The sequence below is a fragment of the Homo sapiens genome, chromosome 6 (assembly GCF_000001405.40).
Source record: "Homo sapiens chromosome 6, GRCh38.p14 Primary Assembly".
In the NCBI taxonomy this organism is placed as follows: Eukaryota; Metazoa; Chordata; class Mammalia; order Primates; family Hominidae; genus Homo; species Homo sapiens.
The window spans coordinates 162,220,301-162,242,826 of NC_000006.12; the positions used below are offsets into that span (position 1 = coordinate 162,220,301).

At 39.4% G+C, this 22,526-nt stretch overlaps 1 protein-coding gene and 1 long non-coding RNA gene across 7 annotated transcripts in view; one reads left to right on the forward strand and one right to left on the reverse strand.

Moving 5' to 3' along the window:
• The window catches only part of PRKN (parkin RBR E3 ubiquitin protein ligase), a 1,380,350-nt gene that overhangs the window by 872,884 nt on the left and 484,940 nt on the right, over positions 1–22,526 (reverse strand). The gene's annotated exons all lie outside the window — the stretch shown is intronic.
• On the forward strand, positions 14,480–19,613 carry LNCR-SMAL (lncRNA senescence and mitophagy associated regulator of PRKN). Its single transcript, XR_943203.3, has 2 exons — positions 14,480–14,618; positions 19,153–19,613. It is a non-coding gene; the product is annotated as a lncRNA senescence and mitophagy associated regulator of PRKN (long non-coding RNA).

Consider the following 22,526-nt stretch of genomic DNA (forward strand, 5'->3'; position numbering starts at 1 on the left):
ATTGCAACAAAAGCAAAAATTGACAAGAGGGACCTAATTAAACCTGCATAATTAAAGAGCTTCGGCATAGCAAAAGAAACAAACAAGGGAGTAAACAGGCAACTACAGTCTGGAATCTTCAGGAATGAGCCCAGCAAGGCCAGAGTTCATGGGGGAAAAATTTTCAACATAAACGTAAAAGAGTGACTAAATCAATCAAGGGTAAGAAGTGAAGATTCAAGTACAAAGCAGAGGGCAGCAAACCAGGTACAAAGGAATCTGTCACCTATGCAGTGAGCATAACCCAACAGGTAGTTTCTCAAATCAGAGACCCAACCAGTAACCAAGGTAAAAGAGGGACTAAATCAATCAACGAAAAAAAAGTCAAGATGCAAGTTCAAGGCAGAGGTCAGGAAACGGAACTCCACATGGACACAGAATGGTCTACTCATGGCGCAGCCAAGGGGAGGGGCAGGCAGCCGTCAGGGAAAAGTACTCAAAAAGGCAACACTTACCGAATGACTGAAATTTGGAGTCATGGATTTCAGCAGGGATTTGCAGTGAAAGAAACAGGCATATAGAGACTAAGTTCCCAATAAACGTTACAATTCATCCTTTCACTCTCCTCTTGAAATGGGATGTATTGTGAATGTATTGAGCTAAATTATCCTGCATGGCTTTGGCCAGCTATCCCATTCTCTGGTGAGTGTTTATTTTCAAAGAGTTAGATGAGTGAAGAGCGGAGAATGGTAATGTAACCAATCTGATGCCTTGTTAGAAAATCTTCCCTCATGATACCAGAATGCTTTGGTGTGAAAGACTGGTTCCTGCTGGAATAGTTTCTTTTTTAAGACTAATGCACAAAAATGCATATTCTGCCTATGTTTCTTCCCATGATGTGTATTCATTTAGTGCGTAAGGAATTATTTCTTTTCTTCCTTGTTCGCCTCAGTCCTAGTGCCCAGCTCAGTATCTTGCATTTGCTGCTAGTTGATGACACTGAATTTGCAGCAAAATGAAATAGACCTTCTTCAATTGGTCTGGTCTGTTTGTCACTGAGTATATGTGTCATTGCTGTGACAGTAACCTGGCTGATGAATGAAATTTACTGGACTATGAACAGTAATAAGATATTCCTGAAGCCCTGGTTTCTCACTTTGCTATCTTAAACCAAAGCTATTAAACTCTTCAAATAAGCATGCTTTATTCAGTAATTCATAGACTTCAATTAAATTTGGAGCAGCAGAGAACTCTGAACATTCCCATTGATGCCACAGTGGTATGGCCAGAGCTAGGCTCAACTGCTCCAAAATCGTCAGCCAAATACCTCAGTCTCCCAAGCCAAAATTTGACATAGACTATGCTTCTCCGGCCTTATTTCATTACTCAAAATAAGATGATTGAAAAATGTATGAAGCTTACAGTAGAATACTAGTGGGCACAAGAGAGGAGATGTAAATATTCAGGTAAAACTCAATAAGTTCAGAAAAAGATTTTCAGCAGATGCAAATTAATTGGAAAAAATGTCAGATGATAAATCTTTGCTTTACCACTTTGCAGTCTGGGTTTGACAAGGACATAATCTCTAAAAAGGAAGGATTTTCAAAAGAATCAACAGAACATTAAAGGTATAGAGAATTCAGACACTAATTCAATCATACATAATCTTATCTAACAGTTAATACACTTTCTAAGATGACGTACCAGTTGGAGGATAAGATGCAAAGGATGAAAAAGATAAAAGTAGATTTAATGCAATGTTTTACAGGTAAAACATTGGTTTTGGTTTGAATAACGACCTTTTACTCTTACCACTTTGGACAACATAGGAGGCAGAATTCTATGATAATCCCCAAAATTCCAGCCCCCTAATATACATGTCCTATGTAAGTAACCCTCTCGCCTTGAGTGCAGGTGGCACCTGTAAAAATGATCAGATATCCTCCTATTAGGAGGTTATATTAAATACCAAAGATAAAGGATTTTTGTAGATGTGCAAAAGGTCAGAAATCGGTTGATTTTGAATTAATCCAAAAGGAGATACCCTGGGTCGGCCTGACCCAATCAGAGAAGCTCCCATAGAAAAACAGTCCAGATCTTGTGGAAACGAAGATACGGAGATAGAGCTTCCGACCGCTTTGAAGATGTGAACTATCATGCTGAGAGTCCCACGTGTCAGGGCATTGCAGGAGCCTCAAGGAGCTGAAAGCAACCATGGCTGACAGCCAGCAAGAAAGCTAGGACTTCAGTCCTACAACTTCAGGGAATGAATTCTGCCAACAATCATGTCAGTGTGAAAAATGAATCCCAAACTGCAGAAAGGAACATGGCCCAATTAATGCGTTGATCCATCCTTGTGAGACCCTGAGTGGAGGATGCAGTTAAGCACTGCTCACAATGTCTGCGGGTCAGACCTGAGGAAATGCGGGACCTGACTCACAGAAATTGTGAGATCATAAATGGGTGTCGTTTAAAGCCACTGCACTAGTAGTAATTTATTACACAGCAAAAAATGACTAATACGTGTGGCTGGTTTACTTCACCTCACTGTTAGTTTTCTTTTTTTTAATTTTATTTTATTATTATTATACTTTAAGTTTTAGGGTACATGTGCACAATGTGCAGGTTAGTTACATATGTCATATGTATACATGTGCCATGCTGGTGTGCTGCACCCATTAACTCATCATTTAGCATTAGGTATTTCTCCTAATGCTATCCCTCCCCCCTCCCCCCACCGCACAATAGTCCCCAGAGTGTGATGTTCCCCTTCCTGCGTCCATGTGATCTCATTGTTCAATTCCCACCTATGAGTGAGAACATGCGGTGTTTGGTTTTTTGTCCTTGCGATAGTTTACTGAGAATGATGATTTCCAATTTCATACATGTCCCTACAAAGGACATGAACTCATCATTTTTTATGGCTGCACAGTATTCCATGGTGTATATGTGCCACATTTTCTTAATCCAGTCTATCATTGTTGGACATTTGGGTTGGTTCCAAGTCTTTGATATTGTGAATAGAAGACCATAATAGGAGGGCACTTTAAGAATTTCATGTGATTGACACTCTTGGCATGTAGCTAGCATGTAATAAAAGCTCAGTAGAGGCAGTTAATCATAATAATAGTGCTGCTAATAGCACTATTAGTAGCAGCAGTATAAACTGCAGTAATTGTGACAGGCTGGAACTCCTAGATATGCTTGTAAACAAAATTAAATTGGGATGAAGAATTCTACAGGCTGGTATTTGACTAAATTAAATCAATGCTTGATTAAATCTATTGACATCTATACGTATGTGTATATTGGCTTATTCCAAATAGACACGTGACACACACACACACACACACACACACACACACACACACACACACACACAAACATAATGCTCCAGAAACAGCACAGTATACCTTTCTACAAATACACTACACATTTTCCTACCTTTGTATCTCTTTCTTATGTCCTGGTTTTTCCCCCTGAAATGTCATTCCCACAGCTCTACCTGTAAAATTTGTTGACTTTTCATTGCCTACCTAGGATATTGTGTATTAACAATGTTCCAAGAGCTGTTGTTGTCGTTTTGTAATATGAGATAGGAATCATATGAGATAAATATTACTATTATTCCAATGTATCCCTTTTTAAAGGACAGGGAATGAAGGACTACAAAGACTGATTTGGCTGTGTTCGTGGTGTGGTGTCAGCATCTGAAATTAGTCACTCAAGCTCCTGGTTGTGCCTTCCACCACCACAATAAGCTTTGAGTCGATGGCCCCTCATAGATACTCCTCCATACCCCAAAAAGATTTTTTTTTCCTTTTCTTATCTCTTAACGATATTTTATTTGACTTAGTAGGGTTTAAGCTAAGACCAAGCTGAGCTATATTTGGCATATAGATACACTGAGTTTACAGAACTGCCTAACAATGTTCTGGTCAACAATGGACTGCATATACAGTGGTAGTTTTATAACATTACAATACGGTATTTTTACTGTACTTTTTCTATGTTTAGATACACAAAAACTTGCCAATGTCTTATAATTTCCTGTAGTATTCAGTCCATTCACGTGCTGTACAGGTTTGCAGCCTAAGAGCAACAGCTGTACCATGTAGCCTAGGTGTGTGCGAGGCTATACCATGCAGGTCTGTGTAAGTCCACTCCATGATGTTCACACAATGCCAAGATCACCTAACGGTGGACTACTCAGAATGCATCCCCCTCAAAAAGTGACCCAAGACTGAATTTACATCCACTAATGTGCATGTGGGGAAGGACAAGTTGGAGAAAAAGCTTGATGCGTGCCGTCATTTATACTTTCCCAGTTGGAGGAGAGAAGCCAATCAAAGGGAATTAACAGAGAGGCTGCAGGCCTTCTGGAAGGAATCTATCTTGAGGGAAGTAGGCCTGGGGAATTGGATGCTGCTGCATCCTCTTTCTGGGCACGGACCCACCCTGACCCAGCCACTCTAGTATTATACGCCCTAGGGAGAAAATCATGGCAAAAAATTAAGGTTGTTGCTGCAATCCCCAGGGCCCAAGCCATCTTGCTCTGAGCTGCTATAAGAGTTTTACACAGTGCAAAGCCATTTTCTGATCAAATTTTATAAAAAACCATACTCATCTGAGATGCCCTGGGTTAGTGGTACCCGAAACTCCTGGTGTTCTTGGGAGAGACAGGCCTGTTGTCTTGGTTCATTTTCTGTGGTTATAACAGTATACCTGAGACTGGGTAATTTATCAAGAAAACATTTATGTAGCTCACAGTTCTTGAGGCTGGGAAGTCCAAGATTGGGCAGCCCTGTCTGGGCTGCATCATAACATGGTAGACAGCAACACGTGGTGAGAGCACATCTATGAGTGAGCAGGTGCAAAAGACAAAACACAAAGAGTGACCGAACTTTATAACAACCTGCTCTCATAGTAACTAATACAGTCCCTCAAAAGTAAGAACCCACTCTTGTCAGATGGCATTAATCCATCCATGACTGTAAATACCTTATGACCCAAGCACCTCCCGAAGTTCCCACCACCTTTAAACCAACACACCTACATTGGTGACCAAGACTCAACAGGAGCTTCTGTGAGAAGAAACCATATTCAAACCATAGCACCTGTTGAACTTGAGAAATTCAGGCTTACATGTTATTGTGGTCTATTTTTAAAGCTGAGAGATCGGGATACCTTCTTTCATCTCTTTGGTATCTTCAGAAGTTTGAAAAGTATTTCTAAGTTAATCTAACCTTCTTTTTCATACTAACCTGACACTGATGTGGCCAAAGAGACCTGGAGAACCTGAGATCTCTGCTGTGCACATCTCCCCAACACTATGCACCTTGGAGCTCCTCATCTCTGCACCCTCCATGGAGCCAACTCCAATGCTGTACACACAGCAGAGGCTTAATAAATGTGCTTTGACCAAAGATTTTGTTGTATCAACCCACAGTAACAAAATTGACAGTAGATGTAGCTGATGTGTTTAACTTCAGAAAACATATATGGGGAAATCTCATATAAAAGGACAATGTGGATTTACCTGGGAAATAGTTATTAACTAATGTAAACTGCTGGCTACAGAAAATGACTGCTGTTAATGTAGGGCTGTATATATATATATATATATACTTTTGTTATATATTTATACTTCTATTATTTTATTATTTTATTTCCTAAACATATATGTTTAGGAAACCATATGTATATACAAATGGAAAGAGTTGGAAGCAATGATCCCCCAGGGGAATCTATTGCATACAGGTAGGGAGAAGGCATCAATAAGTTTAATAATAATAATAATAATAATAATAATAATAATAAAATTAGATCAAACTGGGCAGGTTAGAAAGAACTTAAGGAGAAAGAGTCAGTGCTTACCCTAAGAAAGAAAAGACTCATAAAAAAAGAGAGACTGAGAAAAGCAGAAAAATAAGAATCAGGGCTATGCGCTTTGAGACAGACAGGCAGACAAGACAGAGGCAGAGACAGATACAGAGAGAGAGAGAGAGACACGCAGGCACCAGAAAGGAGAGAGTGCTCCCCTCCAAGGCTGCGCTGCACCCCTTCCTGGGTGCTGTGGATAGGGGCCCTAGGGCTCCTCCTTCCACAATGGCACTGTAATGGGAAAGGCCCACAACAAGCATGAAACCAGTCCTCACGAGCAGAGCCATGTGGGTCAAATTACTGCAATTTGGGAGAAATTCTGCAAAGACATTTGGGAGGGATTTGTGCAGGAGGAACACCAAGAATTTTGTTTGTTTGTTTGTTTGTTTGTAGAGAGAGCCTTGCTCTGTTGCCAGGCTGGAGTGCAGTGCTGCAATCTTGGCTTACTGCAATCTCCGCCTCCTGGGTTCAAGCGATTCTCCTGTCCCAGCCTCCCGAGTAGCTGGGACTACAGGCGCCTGCTACCACGCCCAGCTATTTTTTGTATTTTTAGTAGAGACGGGGTTTCACCGTGTTGGTCAGGCTGATCTCAATCTTTTGAAGTCGTGAACTGCCCGAAGACTCCATGAGTATAACAAGATTAACTTGAGCCTAAGAATTCCTAGGCATGGGCAGCTCGCTGCTTCAGCCACTGGCTCAGGCCAAATCAGTTCTTCAAAATCAGTCATGGCTCCAGTCCCCTCCTTGGTATATGCTGCTACTTATGAGGAAATCCTAATCCTGAGCACAGAAGTTCATTCTCTTGCTGCGCTAATGATCCGGCCAGAAAGTGCTGACAGCCGGCTGGCTGCCTGGCTGGCTCTCCTGCAAATGCACAGTCTTCTTGTCATACAGCAGGAGGAGCACAATGGATAACCAGTGTATATATCTACATTTAACTTTACGTAACTATCCTAGTATACGTATGGGACTTGCATACAGTCTTCCGCATATGTACATCTTTACGTAGTTGGTATGATTTCTCTGTAATAAAGTCCAAATTTTAGTGTGTGTGTTAATTCTCTTAACATCCACACCCTTTACTCATTGACTATTGCATTCATTTTTAGCTATGCAACACTTTGAAAATAAGGGTTTTTTTCCCCCACCTTAATGTAATAAACCAAACCACTGCAAATTTTATCTTGCTTTTCATTATCTGGAATAATTTAGCTACTTTTTTTTTCTCTCTCTACCCTTTATATCTATATCCATTAGAACACAGTTCCTGAAAATCATGGTTTTTGAAAACCCAAAACATATCCAATTATAGTTTAAATGTAAGAGACTCTCTCAATGATCAATAAATCTGACACCCACAAACACTTGTTTTACTTTAGAAATGGCGCAAATATGTGAGTCCCAAATTATGAAATTATGGTGTTGATTTTCACTTTGTGCTTGACCTCTACCTGAAGGTACAAAGCTGAGGTCTAATTTGACATTAATTAATCTTACTCTCTTCCCCTCACTCTTAAACTTGAAAAACATAGTAGGGAAAAATGCACTAGCCTTCTACCATTCTTATGCCCTATGTGACATAAAAACAAAAGTGAAGTTAGCTACTTAGTCAAAGCTGGCAAATGCATTCTCACCATCCCTAGTGTCCATACAGAAAACGTGCATGCCTTCTGGACAGAAAACACTAAGGTTGTGTTCCTCTATTGAAATTTGGGGGAAGTCCAAAAAGATGGACAAAGGATGTTGTATTTTAAAAACCAGTAGTTCCATTAAAAAAAAAAAAAAAACTTAACTACTTAGTGACCTGAGTGACATCAATGTGTTCTTGTGAGGGCTATTTTCTCATGTTTGGTGGTGAATGTGCAGACACAATGTTTATCGTAGAGAGAATTCTCCAAATAGAAGGTGTAGAAACCTCACTACGCTGAGCTCATTCAAGGACCTGGGCATAAAGCAAATTACAAGAGGGATTGAACCACGTAATAAGAGAGAAGCCTTTAGTCTTTATTTCTACTGAAGCAGGTATGCTTTAGAGAGACGTGTTTCAACTGAAATGCACAAACCACAAAATCACTAAATTCAAAATTCAAAAGAGAAATTCATCATAAGGGCTGTGGAATTGACTTCTTAGAGTATATTTTGTGGAAAATAGAAATCTGGAGCACTACATTTTAGATGCAAAGCATAAGTGGGTCCCCGATGTTACAGTTGGTCAACCACACGTACAGACAGGGACTAGAGACTCTTCTCTCCACCTTCAAAAATGACAAATATTGGTAATGAGAGTCCCAGAACTAATCCTTTCCTGTATAAATGTGAATGCTCATTTAAAATTTGAAAAATAAAGTTATGATTCATTAAAATGAAAAACAAGAAATTTAGGGGAAAAAGTTCTTAGTCCATTGATCACTCATCTCACTTTGCTGAAAGATCGTTAAATGGTTTGAAATTAATGTCTGATAAATATGTGAGCTGATTGAAGTTATAAATATCTTCAAACAGCTATTCAAAGCTTATTAAAAATCTTCACTTTAATGAGGCGAAAACATGAAAATTGACTCTACCTAATGCCTAGCAGAGTCCAATATTGCACTTTACATATTGGTTTACAAACATTATTTCCAGGTGTCTTTAAATAGAGCTCCAATCTTGCACTGTTCTGATTTTTCAAAATCCTTCCAGATATTTGGACTCAAGTACCATCACTAAGAATAGAACCCACAGTAACATCAGCCTAGCCACAAGCTTCCACATGCACCACCAGTAGCTGCTGCTTTGCGGTGTTGTATGCTGGATCTTTTGTACACCTCTAAATGATGGAAGGTACCACAGCGCAATCTATGGGACCACTTCTGTTTTCTATCCAAACTCGCTGCTCAAGTGATCTTCTCAGTCCTATGGCTTACGTATCTACCCTTTGCTTTTTGCTAAATTTATGTTTCCAGCTTTGAGCTGCAGATTTGTACAGCAAATTGTCTCCCTGACTCATCTGCCTTGCCATCTCTAAATTACTATGCCCAAATTAGAATCCCTGATTGTTCTTCAACAAAACCTGCTTCTGCCTAGTCTCCCCCATCCCAACAAAAACACCCCCAGTCACCCAGGTGTTCAAGTAACTGTGATTCATCCTTAATTTCTCTATTTCCATCATATTCAGCTTCTAATCCATCAACAGATACTGTAGGTTTTATCATCAAGATCACTCCAGAATGAGACCACCTCTCACCACCTTCAGAATGACACAAGCGTCACCCACGCAAGCACCTGCTCTTACCTGGAATCCATTACCTGCATCCATTTCAGCCTGCCTGAGCCATTTCTCCAACAGAGGCTGGGCTTTTCTTTTAGAAACATGAATTAGAGCCCATTATTCCTTTGCTCAGCACCTGCTGATGGCTACCTATGCATATTCTTTACACACATCTGCCCCTGCCCCTCTCCCAGATCACCAGTTCATTCCCAGATCCAGCCACTCTACATCTACATACACCAAACTCAATATCTGCCCTCGGCCTTGGCACTTGCCATTCCCTCTTCCTTTCCACTGTTCCTCTCAACATTGCACAGCTAGTTCCCTCAATCTATCCAGCACTCGACTTAGAGAAGCCTTTCAGAAATAGTCTGTTTTTGTACAAACGACCAATACCTGTATCCTTTCGATCTGTTTGACATTTCTGTATGGACTCATAACTAGCTCAAATTATATAGCAAATTAATTTAATTACTTGCTTACTGGCCATCTTTCCCACTATAAGGTCAGCTCCATGAGGCTAGGAATCCTGCCTGTTGTTTTCACCATTACATCTGAGTACTTAGAACCACTCCGCCACAGAGCCTGCACTCCGTAAACTTTCCTTTATTGAAGGAAACATAATTGAATGTGCATCCCTTTTCACAGCCTGGGTACCAGACAATTCTTATATTCTATTATTGTAAAGGTAAACTGAAGTGCAAATAAACATAACTTTGAATAGCAAGGTTGTAGGTTGAAATCAAGTAGTCATTACATATGTATATATGCATGAGCATATCTTACTGAAGCAATTTTTATATTATTGGCCTATATGGAGCCAGTGAATACTCAAATTAACTGTAAGTGTGTCTATCTGTTGGCATGAGCCAAGAAGTATGACAACAGTGACGGTTCACAGAGCAGGATGTAGCTGGCTGCATTTGCTGTATACCAAGCCAGCTCCTTGGCTAGAAGCAAGTGGGAAGAAGCACACCCTCTTTGAAATAATCCTGCAAGAGGCAAGCTGGGCTTGAAGTCTGGGAGGATCCAGGGGAAGAGTGAAGAGGAAGGCACTCAGCTGATAACCAACTTCCTCACTTGCTCCACTTATATTTAGTGATTGCTCTGATCACAATTTGAATAATGCTCACCAGAGACTGTTAGTCAGAACAATGTGTCCCCTAGGACTGATCTACTGACTTCAATTTCATGTTCTAATACAGAACAGCATACATAACTTGAAGATAGGAATCTACACAACTGTGAACAATAGAGGAGGGTCACAGAAATCTAATAACAGCCTGGAGAGAATCCCATTCTTGCTTTGCTGTCATGCCAATGAATTGCATTCTACAAGAAACTCTGTTAATTGACTGCTCCTATCTTGCACCAGGCAAACCAAGTCACAGTGAAGAGAAGGTATCCATGGCTCTTTAAAGCAGTACTTTATAAAAATTCTATGCATGCCCATCTGAAAATAACTTAAAATCTCTGTTGTAGCTTTCTGATCTTCTTTCTATCTCATAAAAAATATTTCAAAGTAACATCGTGGGTTCAGACACCTGTCTCCCCAATGTGATGTAAATTCATTGGACTGATGGTTCCTGTACGACAAATGCTGGAGGTGCTGAAGGCATTCCATAGATAGCTTATCAGCTTTCTCAGAAATTAAGAGGAAATTCGCTCCTCACTGGAAACCTCAGATAAATATGCCTCCCTCTCTCTCTCCTTTTCCTTTCTCCCTCTCCTTCTCTCTCTCCTCTAAACTCAGTTAGTTTCCAAAGAAAATATTTCAGAGAGCTGAGAGATCCTCCCTAATACAGAAGCCAACCCTCCTGATCACCCTCCATGTAAACTGAAATACTAACATTTCTCAATGTTTATAAAGAAAATTTACTTTCTGAAAGGGAAAACCAAATTTATTGTCCCAGTGTTATAAATAGTGTTTGTAATTACAAATTGATTTCAGAGAATGTGAAGTTCAGTTATGCCTAAATAGATAAGCATACTTTTTAAATGGGTAAGAAGTCATTGGGAAAAAATTTAACAGTGGTGTTCCCTAACTCCCCAAAATCTCTTCAGATGAGGAACTGCATTTTATTTATACTGAGAACTGCAACAAAGTGATAAGGTGTGAGAGGGAATCCTGGAAAGACAGAGCAGACAGTATCAGCTGCCTGCTGGATCTGTATCTAGGACAGTGAAATATCACAATTTGATCATTTGGGAAAATAACAGCCATACACATAGCACGGTCCTAGGAAAATCATACTTGTGTGGTAATCCCATTCAATAGGTTAATACCGAATATGCTGAGGTTTTGGTATTGTGAAATTAGAGAGTTACCTATTCATTCCCAAATCAGGAAGCCTAATTTAACCACCTGATCCGCTGTCCCAAATGATTAACTACATCCCAGAGAGAGAAAAATATATATGAATTAAACAAGGCAATCTCTCCCAGAGAAGACAGAAGGAAAACTAAGGAAATGCAGTGCTCTGTAATTTCTCTGGCCCCACCTCACTAATAAGGGCCTGGCTGGGTTAAGGCTGCTGTGTCCACAGTATCATAGTGTCATCACCTGTCACCTAGAGATGGGGGTCTGTCACTGTGACCACTTCCATACCCCTTAACCTCTCAGGGAGGTTAATTTCACAGCCCTTGGAAAGCCAATTTCTAACATAGTGTCAGAATAAGGTATCACTTTCCCAGAACAGGGAGAGAGGCTTTATCTCAAGATTATGCGAAACGAGGGGTATGTAGGGTATGAGCAGCCACATAGGGATTTGGCTAGCCTGACAATTTCTGCATCTCCTGACTCCTATTTTCTGAGCCTAGCTCACGGCACTGTTGCTGACCTGCAGTGCCTGTTGAAGGCTATGTGCTCAGGGCCTTTGCAGCTCCCCTCCCATGCCTGGCTACTGTCCCCTTCTTCTGCAGGGGCTGCCTTCCTTTCCTTTGCAGGGGTAAAAGGATGATGACCAGGAGAAAGGCGACCTTTCCTCCTCACTCCCCAACTCCTGGGGGTTCATCCCCATCTTCCTCACTAAATATAGCTCAGTTTATCAAATGGCCAGTTGAATGTCAGGGAAAATGGACCCTTTTCCTCAGAAGTGGTGGATTAATTGCTTTTCCTTTCACTTTTCTGAGGATAGGCATATAATGGAGCAGCCGCTTGGTATGAAATCATTGATTTGCCTCAAGGTTGAGATTAAGCCAGTCACTTCAAACATTTTAATATTAGCAAAAGGCTTTGTGTGATTTTTTCTTCTCTCTGCTGTGACTTTATTCAAGGTCTTTAGATCACAGGGGCTTTGACAAGTTTGTCAGTGATCAGGGGCTGCCTTAATCAAGTAAGAAAAAAAATCCCGCCAAGACCTCCTATGCATTTATATGTTACAGGACTGTTTAATGCCAGTATCTGCACAAAGCGTGGTGTGTAAACTACAGGCTTTAGAGGATATTAATTAATACAGATTGGAGAATTTCTGATGCAGCTCATTAACAGAGATCAATATTTAAAACTTATGTTTGGGTAAAAAAAAAAGTCATGGTAAATAATTGAGTAAAAGAGGAAATACACACCAGCATAAAAGTGTGTTTATTTATTTTGCACAAATATCACCATGAGCACTAATGAACAACTATATTTCCTTACAGTAAAATAATACCACATGGAGACTTCTAAAAGAAACCCATTGATAGAGTCCTATAGTCACCCTTGTGTACAAAAAGTCATGTGAATACTGCAAAAAGAGGCACATCTTGTCATTTCAATATTAACTCTCCAAGAGGTTTTTAAAACATCTCCAATATCTATATGTAAAGGTTATTCATTAATATTGGCTATTATTTGGATGTGAATCCTAGAAAAAATATAGACATTTTTAAAGCAAAGCATATGCAAGTATTTCTATATGATACATTAAGGAATGTATTGACTGAAAATACACCAAGATAATGCATATCTCGTAATTCAGATTGAAGGAACTTATTCTAAGGAAATGCTATACAAATATGCACATACAAGATGTTCACTGATGCAGTGTCACAAATGCAAAAACCTGGATTAAAAACTAATAGCCTCAGTTATGTTAATGGAAAGTGAAATACTGTGAAGCCATTAAAATGACTCTAATATCTGAGGAGAAAAAACCTCCTCCTCATTTTATAGACAAAGATGGTCAATTAAAAAATAATTAACGAAAAAATTTTCCACTTTTGGGGAAGCCATTTTATTGAATACACTCACTTATTTAAACATTCAAGAAATACTGGACGTGTCCGCCAGATTTCATGTGGTTAGAAACTTCATCCCCAAGCTCATATATTAATTTTAAGTGGGGCATTTGGGAGGTAACTAGGATTAGATGAGGTCATCGCAGAGGGGACACCCTGATAGGACTGGTGGTTTCATAGGAAGAGAAGGAGATACGAATGGACATGCATGCTCTTGTCCTCTAACCATGTGAGGCAGCAAGAAGGCCCTCACCAGATGCCGGTGGCATGCTCTTGGACTTTCCAGCTTCTAGAAGCATGAGCCCAATAAACTTATTTTATTAACAGATTATCCAGACTGTGGTATTCTATTATAGCAACAGAAAATGGACTAAGACATATACTGAAGAGTTGATGACAAAAATAAATATGTGATTTTGACACATTCTATGAGGAAAAGAAAAAGATGCAGCTCAGAATCATAGTATTGAACCTAACATAGGATGGGGGAAAAAAGCAGAGAATGTGTTGTTAGGATACTATGGGAAAGTGAGAACAGGTACACGACAATTTGCAACTAAGAATGTTTTGGACTCAGAGGGAGAATGCCCCTGGCATCATGTCAAGGCTGGGCCACACTGAGTTGGGGCAGAGGTGGGGAGACAGAACTGAGGAAAAGTGGAGCCAGGCCCCAGTGAGCTGGCTTTAGGATTCTGAATTTTGATTTATTTCAGTTCAGTTTATATACTAAAAGGTTTGATTCAGTTGGTTCATTGAAAAGATTTACCAGGGAAGAAATGACACAAGTCATATGTTTTAATTTAGTTATATAACATAATATAGAGTTGTCCCTGAGGATCTGAGGAGGGTTGGTTCCAGGATGCCCATGGATACGACGGTCTGCAGACACTCAAGTCCTTGATATAAAATGACAGAGTATTTGCATATAGCCTACACACATCCTACTGTATACTTTAAATCATCTCTAGATGACTTGTAATACCTATGACAAGGTAAGAGCTGTGCTAATACTTTTCATATTTATTTTAAAATTTGCATTATGTTTTATATTTATTGTTATTTTTTACTGCTTTTCCACCAAGTATTTTTTATGGATTGGTTGAATCTGCAGATGCAGAACCAAGAATAGAGGGCAGACTGTGGTGACAGACACCGTCTGTGTTATCACTTGAAGAGCTGTCCTGTGGGAGAAATGACAGCATGACAAACAGGCTATGTGGACTTCAGCACATCGGCACAATGTGCCTCCAGTTTTTTCATCTGGAAAAACAACTGGCAGTGGGTGGTAAGTGATATTAATGTCCCTTCCAGTTCCAAGTGCAGTTTAGTGCTTTGGGAATAGTATTCAGAGATTCTCTTATGGCAGTGACATTTTTACCAGTGTTAGGTGAATAAAATATAACTTTATGAAAAAAATGGTATAAAAGGATTAGTATGTTATTTTTCTTATACAAAGGAAACTAGCTGAATGAGAGGCTTAAGGGATATTTGTCTTTTATTATGTGAGGTTTTTTTGAAATTTAAAATATGAAGAACCAAAACTTACCACTAAATCCTACTGTCCAGATTGCTTTTAAAAGTTCTACTGTGAGAGGTAAACTGGGAATCTGAGTGTGTTTCCAGTTGTGTAATAATTACATTGCCTTATTGTTTTTTAGCCAGGTAATATTCTTATCTGGAGGCGATGTTTAATATTGTTTGAATATCTATGTGACTTGCAGCACTATCATAAATGAGTCTTACGACATGCCTCCGTCATTCTGATATTGTGGACAAATGATGTTATAGCTATCTACGAACATTACATATAAAGAATGCATATTGTCAAGATTGAATTTTACCTGAGGTCTGAGCCCCTGGAAAACAATGAAAATTAAAGAAATACTCCTCATGGCCGGGCGCAGTGGCTGAAGCCTCTAATCCCAGCACTTTGGGAGGCCAAGGCAGGTGGATCATGAGGTCAGGAGTTCGAGACTAGCCTGGCCAACATGGCGAAACCCTGTCTCTACTAAAAAAATACAAAAACTAGCGCGGTGGCTGGTGCCTGTAATCCCAGCTACTCGGAAGGCTGAGGCAGGAGAACTGCTTGAAGCCGGGAGGTGGAGGTTGCAGGGAGCCGAGATTGCACCATTGCACTCTAGCCTGGGTGACAGAGCAAGACTCTGTCTCAAAGAAAGAAAGAAAGAAAGAGAGAGAGAGGGAGGGAGGAAAGGAGGGAGGAAAGAAAGAAAAAGACGGAAAGAAAGAGAGAGAAAGAAAGAAAGAAGGAAAGGAAGGAAGGAAGGAAGGAAGGAAGGAAGGAAGGAAGGAAGGAAGGAAGAAAGGAAGAAAGAAAGAAAGAAAGAAAGAAAGAAAGAAAGAAAGAAAGAAAGAAAGAAAGAAAGAAAGAAACTCCTCACCCTTCAGTGTGATCAAAAACAGCTTACTGCCAGGTCCCCCTTTCCCCATATGAATTAGATGTGTCACCTAACACTGGTAAAAATGTAACTGCTATAAGTGAATCTCTGAATAATATTCTCAAAGCACTAAACTGCACTTGGAACTGGAAGGGACATTAATATCACTTGTACCCGTTGACTACATAGGACAAGGCCAGACTTCCAATTCCTATCCTTTGCCTCAACAATGATTAGCTGGATTGCTTGTCCCTACTGATGAATCAGAAATGCTTATTGGTTAAATTTGGTGAAGGTTCTCTCTATCCTCAGAACCCTGACCTCAACCCCAGCCAGCAGAGAGCCTCTCCTGAGAAGAAGCTGGCCCTAGGGTAAAACCCTCTCTCATTTACTATCCCATATGTCTTTCTTCCACCCCACTCCTCCACACCAGTTCTTACTAGCTTGTTTATTCCCCTGTATAAAAGAAAGCCCAAGCTTGGTGTGGTGGCTCACGCCTGTATCCTAGCACTTTGGGAGGCCGAGATGGGCCGATCACTGGAGGTCAGGAGTTTGAAACCAGCCTGGCCAACATGGTGAAACTCCATCTCTACTAAAAATACAAAAAAAAAAAAAATTAACTGGGCATGATGGCACATGACTGTAATCCCAGCTACTCAGGAGGCTAAGGCAGGAGCATCGCTTGAACCTGGGACGCAGAGGTTGCAGTGAGCCGAGATTGCACCATTGCACTCCGCCTGGGTGACAAGAGAGAAACTCCATTTCGAAAAAAGAAAGAAAGAGAGAGAGAGGGACAGAGAGAGAGAGAAAGAAAGGAGAGGAAGGAAGGAAAGAGAGAGAAAGAATGGGAGAGAGAGAGAGAGAAGGAGGGAAGGAAGGAAGGAAGGAGAGAGAAAGAAGAAAGAAAAGAAAAGAAAAGAAAAGCCCCTTTTGCCTAACCCTTGAGATGCCTGCAGATCTTATGGTCAGAGCATTCTTCTATTGCACCCATCCTCCTCCCACTATTCGAATAGCCCATCCCTAAGCCCCTGCAATAATCCTTTCTAATAACGTCTACTCTTACTAAATTGAGATTTATTTTTTATTTGACAGGGTTTTTAATGAGAAATGCTTTTTACGAGGTTAGAATAGTTCTGGTGGTTGTTCCTTAGTCTCTCATCACATCTCCTTTATGACTTGGAAAGATAAATTTAGCATGGAAAAAAATGTGATTATTAGAAAACAAAAAGAATTTTAAATCATGAAAGAAATTTATGCAAACAATAGGGCAAGACCTAGTACATAAAAAGAGTCAGTGAAGCGAATAAAAACAACAACAAAACAGCACCACCACCACCACTTAACCACAAAGTGAAACAATTTACATAATGATTTCTTGCTTTTCTTCTTCATATTATTGAAAGTTTCTTTGTTCATGTTATCTCCAGTGGTCTGTTAAATGTTTGCAATGCCTCAGTGCTCCTCTGAACAACTTTGTTAGGAATGAGAAGTGCTCTACCTATCAACAACAAAGGCAGCCGAATGGCTAGAAATAAGTTTGTTGAAAATACTTCTTGGGTTCTGCCTTACCTGTCAATCACAAAAAGAAGGTGGAGAAAGGAGGCATGCTTATGGCATCCCAGTTTTAAGGAAGAACATTTTAGCAATAAGCAAGCAGTCACCAAAAGGATTCAAAAAGGCAGTGGGTTTAGGGTGCTTTGTTTCACTGTGAACATGAACTGTCATAAATGCATATCTGATATTTTAATATCAGATATTTGGTTAAAAAAAAAAAAGTGAGGTAGGAGGGTGCATTTCATTATCTCTCCCAGATACGTACTGGCCATCTGGTGGGAAAGAAAACAGGCAGTCTCAGTCCAGGGACCAGAGGATCTCCTTTGTCCCTGTACATACACGCAAGAACGCACATATTACATTATCCAGGTAGAGAGCACGTGGTAGGTTACAAAGAAGCCATGAGGAAGAAATAGGAAACCTGAATTGTAGTTGCACTCCTCTCAATATCCTCATCAGCAAAATGAATGAGTTGTTAATAATTACAATTGTACCAACTGTCATACTTTGCCATATGGCTTGTATATGTGTTTGGTATTTTAAATCTATAACATACAGTCATGTGCCCCATCTGCATCAATCATGGCATGTGTATATGGTGGTATTTTGTATTTTACCCTACTTTTTAATGTTTAGATACAAAAATACTCTCCATTGTGTTACAGTTGCCTGCAGTATTCAGTACAGAAACATGCTGCATGGGTTTGTTGTCTAGGGGCAATAGGCTACACCGTACAGCCCAGGTGTGCAGTAGGCTATACCATCTAGATTTGTGTAAGTATACTCTATGTTGTTTGCACAACAAGAAGATTGTCTAACCATGTGTTTTTCAGAAGTATGTTGTCATTAAGTGACACGTGACTATACATAAATATGTTAATAGCTTGTAATGAAGACATAAGCTCTAATTCTGATCAAGCCTAGACAAAGCAACTTACATACATAATTCTTAAAATAAAAACCCAAGGAAGACGTTAGTATTCCTTGTTTCTGGAAAAGGAGCCAAGACCCTGGGAGTTAAGTGGCCTTCTATGAGGCCAGATGACTGGGCCAGGACCCACTACCTGGCTGACCCCAAAGTTCACCCTTTTATTCATTCTGCTGCATTGGTTGTGACCTAGAATATTCTGTTGTTTTTCTGGTTTAGAGAAACAGAAAGAAGACTCAGAGTAGACTCTGAAATGTCCACTCCCCACACATTGCCCAGAGCCACTGGAGGTACAATGTGCCAGGCACAGCTGTGTGGGCAGCAAGGCACGTGGAGCAGGAAGCAAAGGATGATGCCGAGGCACGGGCCACGTGTGCAGTGCCCGAAGGGGGTCTCCTCTGGTCGTGGCTGTGCACCAGTGACAGAAGGGTTTACTTACTATGATACTGGAGACCACCATGATCACTGACATTTCCTTAATGATGCACAAAATGAAGCGCACAAGTATCCAACAAATGACCAGAGAAAACGCTAGCATACTTCTCTGAATGTACACTTCAGAGAAGGAGGGAAATGCTTAAATGTAATATTTTAGATAAATCACTGAATACAATTAGTATAGTAAGTACACTATGGATTTGATGGTATGTAGTAATACGTCTCTATGGCAAGCTCATCTCCTGGAAAACTGGAACTACATTTGTCCACAAGCCTTTCTCACTGAGCAGGAACACAGCTTGCAGGTTGGCCGACTCATCTCCCCAGATTTTATTTTCTATTTTATCTATATTTTTCCTGGCTCTAATTTGTTTCTGTTTTGTTACATTTTATAGATTCCTACAAACCTCTTTAACTATTTTGTAATGCAAGATATTTGAGCATAAATCCCTAAAAGACATATTATTTTATGATGTAAAGGTTTCATTTTTTCCATTTTATAGATGATTAAATAGAGGCCCGGCATGGTTAAGCGGCAAGCCCAGAGTCAGCCATCCAACGCAGCGCAGAGCTGTGATACAACCCACTTCCACTCCCACGGCATCTCGGCTTCGTGGGAGTTGAGGAGCGTCTCAACTGCATGTCAGGAGAACCCATGAAAAGGAAAGAACCCAGAACAAATGGGTGAGAAAGTTCAAGACTATGTTCAGCGTAAGAGCAAAAGCCTCCTGAGAATTCTGCTTGCAGCCCATTCCCAGGCATTACAGTGCAAAGCTAATTAGGGAGAATGGCATGAGTAGAAGACCACCAAGACCACCAGCTGAAACGGGTGTTCTCATGGCCTCCAGTGGGCTCGACTATTTTTATATTTTTAATATTTTGGTCCAATCACTACTCTATACAACTTAGCTGTCTTAAAACAATAAAGCCAAAACAAAAATAAAACAATAACCCAGGCCTCCCAGATGTTGGCTTCAGTCTGTGTTCACAAGTTATCTTCCTAATATAACAGCATGAGTACTACTTCCCCATACTGTTCTCATGAGATCTATGGCCAGGTCCAAGGTCACATCATAGTAAATCTTTATGAAGGTTAAGAAATTTATAACATTTGCATTTGTTCACGAATGTCAATAATCCCAACCGGCAGGTTTTACGCTCAGGTTTGAATGACACTTTGCTAACCAAGCCATTAAGGTTTGTTTCAAGGAGTCGGGGGAAGCTCCCCAGCAGCTCTGAGCAAATGAGGAGCCAGAGAAAAACAATTAAAAATTTTTTAAAATAAGATCTTTGAAAGTATATTATTAATTCTATCATCCAATAAGTGTTTTCGAAGACTATGCAAATGACATCTTGCGGTATAAAAGCTGTTACAGAACAGACCTTCCAACATTTCTCAGTCTCCTTCTTTCCTTCCCACGCATGCCCTATGTGTGGACTGGCAGCAATGTTTTTACTTTTAAGAGGAATTTCATCATTTGGGAAAAATTTAGAGATATTAACGAAAAATTGCTATGTGTCTCATGGCTACCTACTGATTAGAAGCAATTAACTTATTTCTATTTTGAAAAATTAGGCTAGCAAATGAAGCCTGTGGGAGAAGCATATTTAATAAATATAGAAATATTAATTGTAGGAAGTAACAATAACACCATGCAAAGTTGTCCTGTACATTGAAAAATCATACTGATTGTTTACCTCCTTATTCACAGCAAGGGAATCAAGACCATAGAAGTCAACCTGTAGCTGTATAATTGCGTCCAAATCCCAGTGAAGAGTAAATGCTAAAGCATTAGGGTGAACCCATTAAAACTGAGAAAAGAGAGGGAAATAAATCAATACTTAAGAGTAGAGTTACCTACCAAAGTACCATTCAGTTCAACACATTTGGAGGCCTCTTTTTCATATATGATGAGTTTTCACTCATATACACTGATAAAAAGGTGAAGCATAAAACATCTAGAATGATGTTTTGAAGAAGGTGAAAGAATCACTGTGGTGAAGACTATAGAACTGCCCTGCCTCCATCTCTCCTAGGCACTTTAGCCATTTTACTCTAAAGCAGATTTGGAGTTGACTTTTTAAATTTCCTTTCAATGTTAGAAATTTAAATTAGAAAATGTATGTTAAAGTTGATTAAAACTTAACAAGTTATTCTGACCCATTTTCCTCTTCTACTGCAATTCTGTCTAATGTCTTTTATGATGCCTTTACAATTACTGTTATCATCATCATTATTATTTTAGTCTATCATGTAGGAAAATATAACTGGATTTTGATTTCCTTAAGAGGTTTTCTACATTATTTAGATTTGTGAAAGAATGTTATTGTAAGTAAATAGCACCAAATCTTAAGGATACAATATATAACTGCTAACGCAAACAGTATTTGAGAAATGCATCTAGATATTCATTACTTTATTAAAAAAGACATAGAATTGGCATAATAAATTGCTAGATAAAGCAATTGAGTAAAGTGTAATGAGTTCAAGTAGAGATAAGATCATTTTATGGAGATAAATGAATTAGAGAGGTTGTGATTGAGAAGTGAGAAGTGGTTAAAGTGTTTTAAGACAAATTATAATATCTAGGTCTTATCCCTACTTATATTGATAGGCATGATTTGGTGGGAAAAAAAGAAACATTGTCACTTTAAGTATTTCCCTATCCTAAATGAAAGCTACTTTATTCAAGAGTATAAGCTACCCTAAGTTTCTTTATTTTAAACTTTGAATGCTTCATCACACAAATGTTTATATTTTAATAGAAATGTATTATGTCTGATGATATCCAACATATATATACAGGCTATTGAATTCTATATGTAGTAATAATCATGAAACTCAGTGTTTTCTCAATTATATCAGCAAATTCTCTAACACAGATATGCCAGGTTTTCTTCAACTTTGATGAAGTCACTTTAGTTCTAGTAAAGTAGAATTCCTTCTAGAAGGAATTTAAAAGAAGCTGAATTTCCTGGCTTCCCCCCACCCCCAACAAGCACCTATATAATTTATCAGTCCATATTTCAAACTACTTTATTTATTCAATTACAACACATTCCATGGATAATTCTAAAATAAACTCCCACATTTAAAATTAAGGAGCCACAAAAGACACTTTTAAAATAAGAAATTGCATAAAGAGAGAAGAAAAAATAAAATTTTTCACAACCTACAAATTACCACCAAGTTTTACATTGAGTTTGACATTCCTGGTATTCAGAGCAAAATATGGACACAAAGACTCATGCACACACTGGGTGACCTCATTTCACTGTTGTATGTGTGATTCCTCATTCTAAGTATAGAATCCAGGAGGTGCGGGTCCCTTTGTCCCCACCAGGAAAATGCAGTTTTCCACAGTGTTAAGGTTGGTTACCTTTTTCCAATGGCAGAAAATGCAGGCCAGAAACTGAGAAAGTTGCTCAGTTCATACAGAAAGCAGACTGCCTAACATGAACCTCTTAGTAGTCAGAGCGACATATGCTATTGAAGTAATGTGTTCCTTTATTTTCTAAATGGATCCTTCCCAAGTAAAATGTACCTAAGTACATAAACCATTTAGTGGGAATACATACACAAAGAGTTGCCTCCTAGATGTAAATGCCTCTTGAACAACAATCAACTATTAACTCATGCAAAAATATTTTGATAACATTTTCACAATTATCTGCTAAATTAAAGGAAACTACTCACAGCAACAAATGCCATCAACATCTGGCAGTGAAACAACTTTGAGGTACATCTGGACAAAAATGACTCATGTCTACCCTCACCTGTTGCAGGCTTTACACCTACAGAGAGGCAGCTCCTCTTTGCCCCAACATATTTAGTTTCTGGACTGCATTTTCGCCTTCTGTTGCAAAATGGCAATCA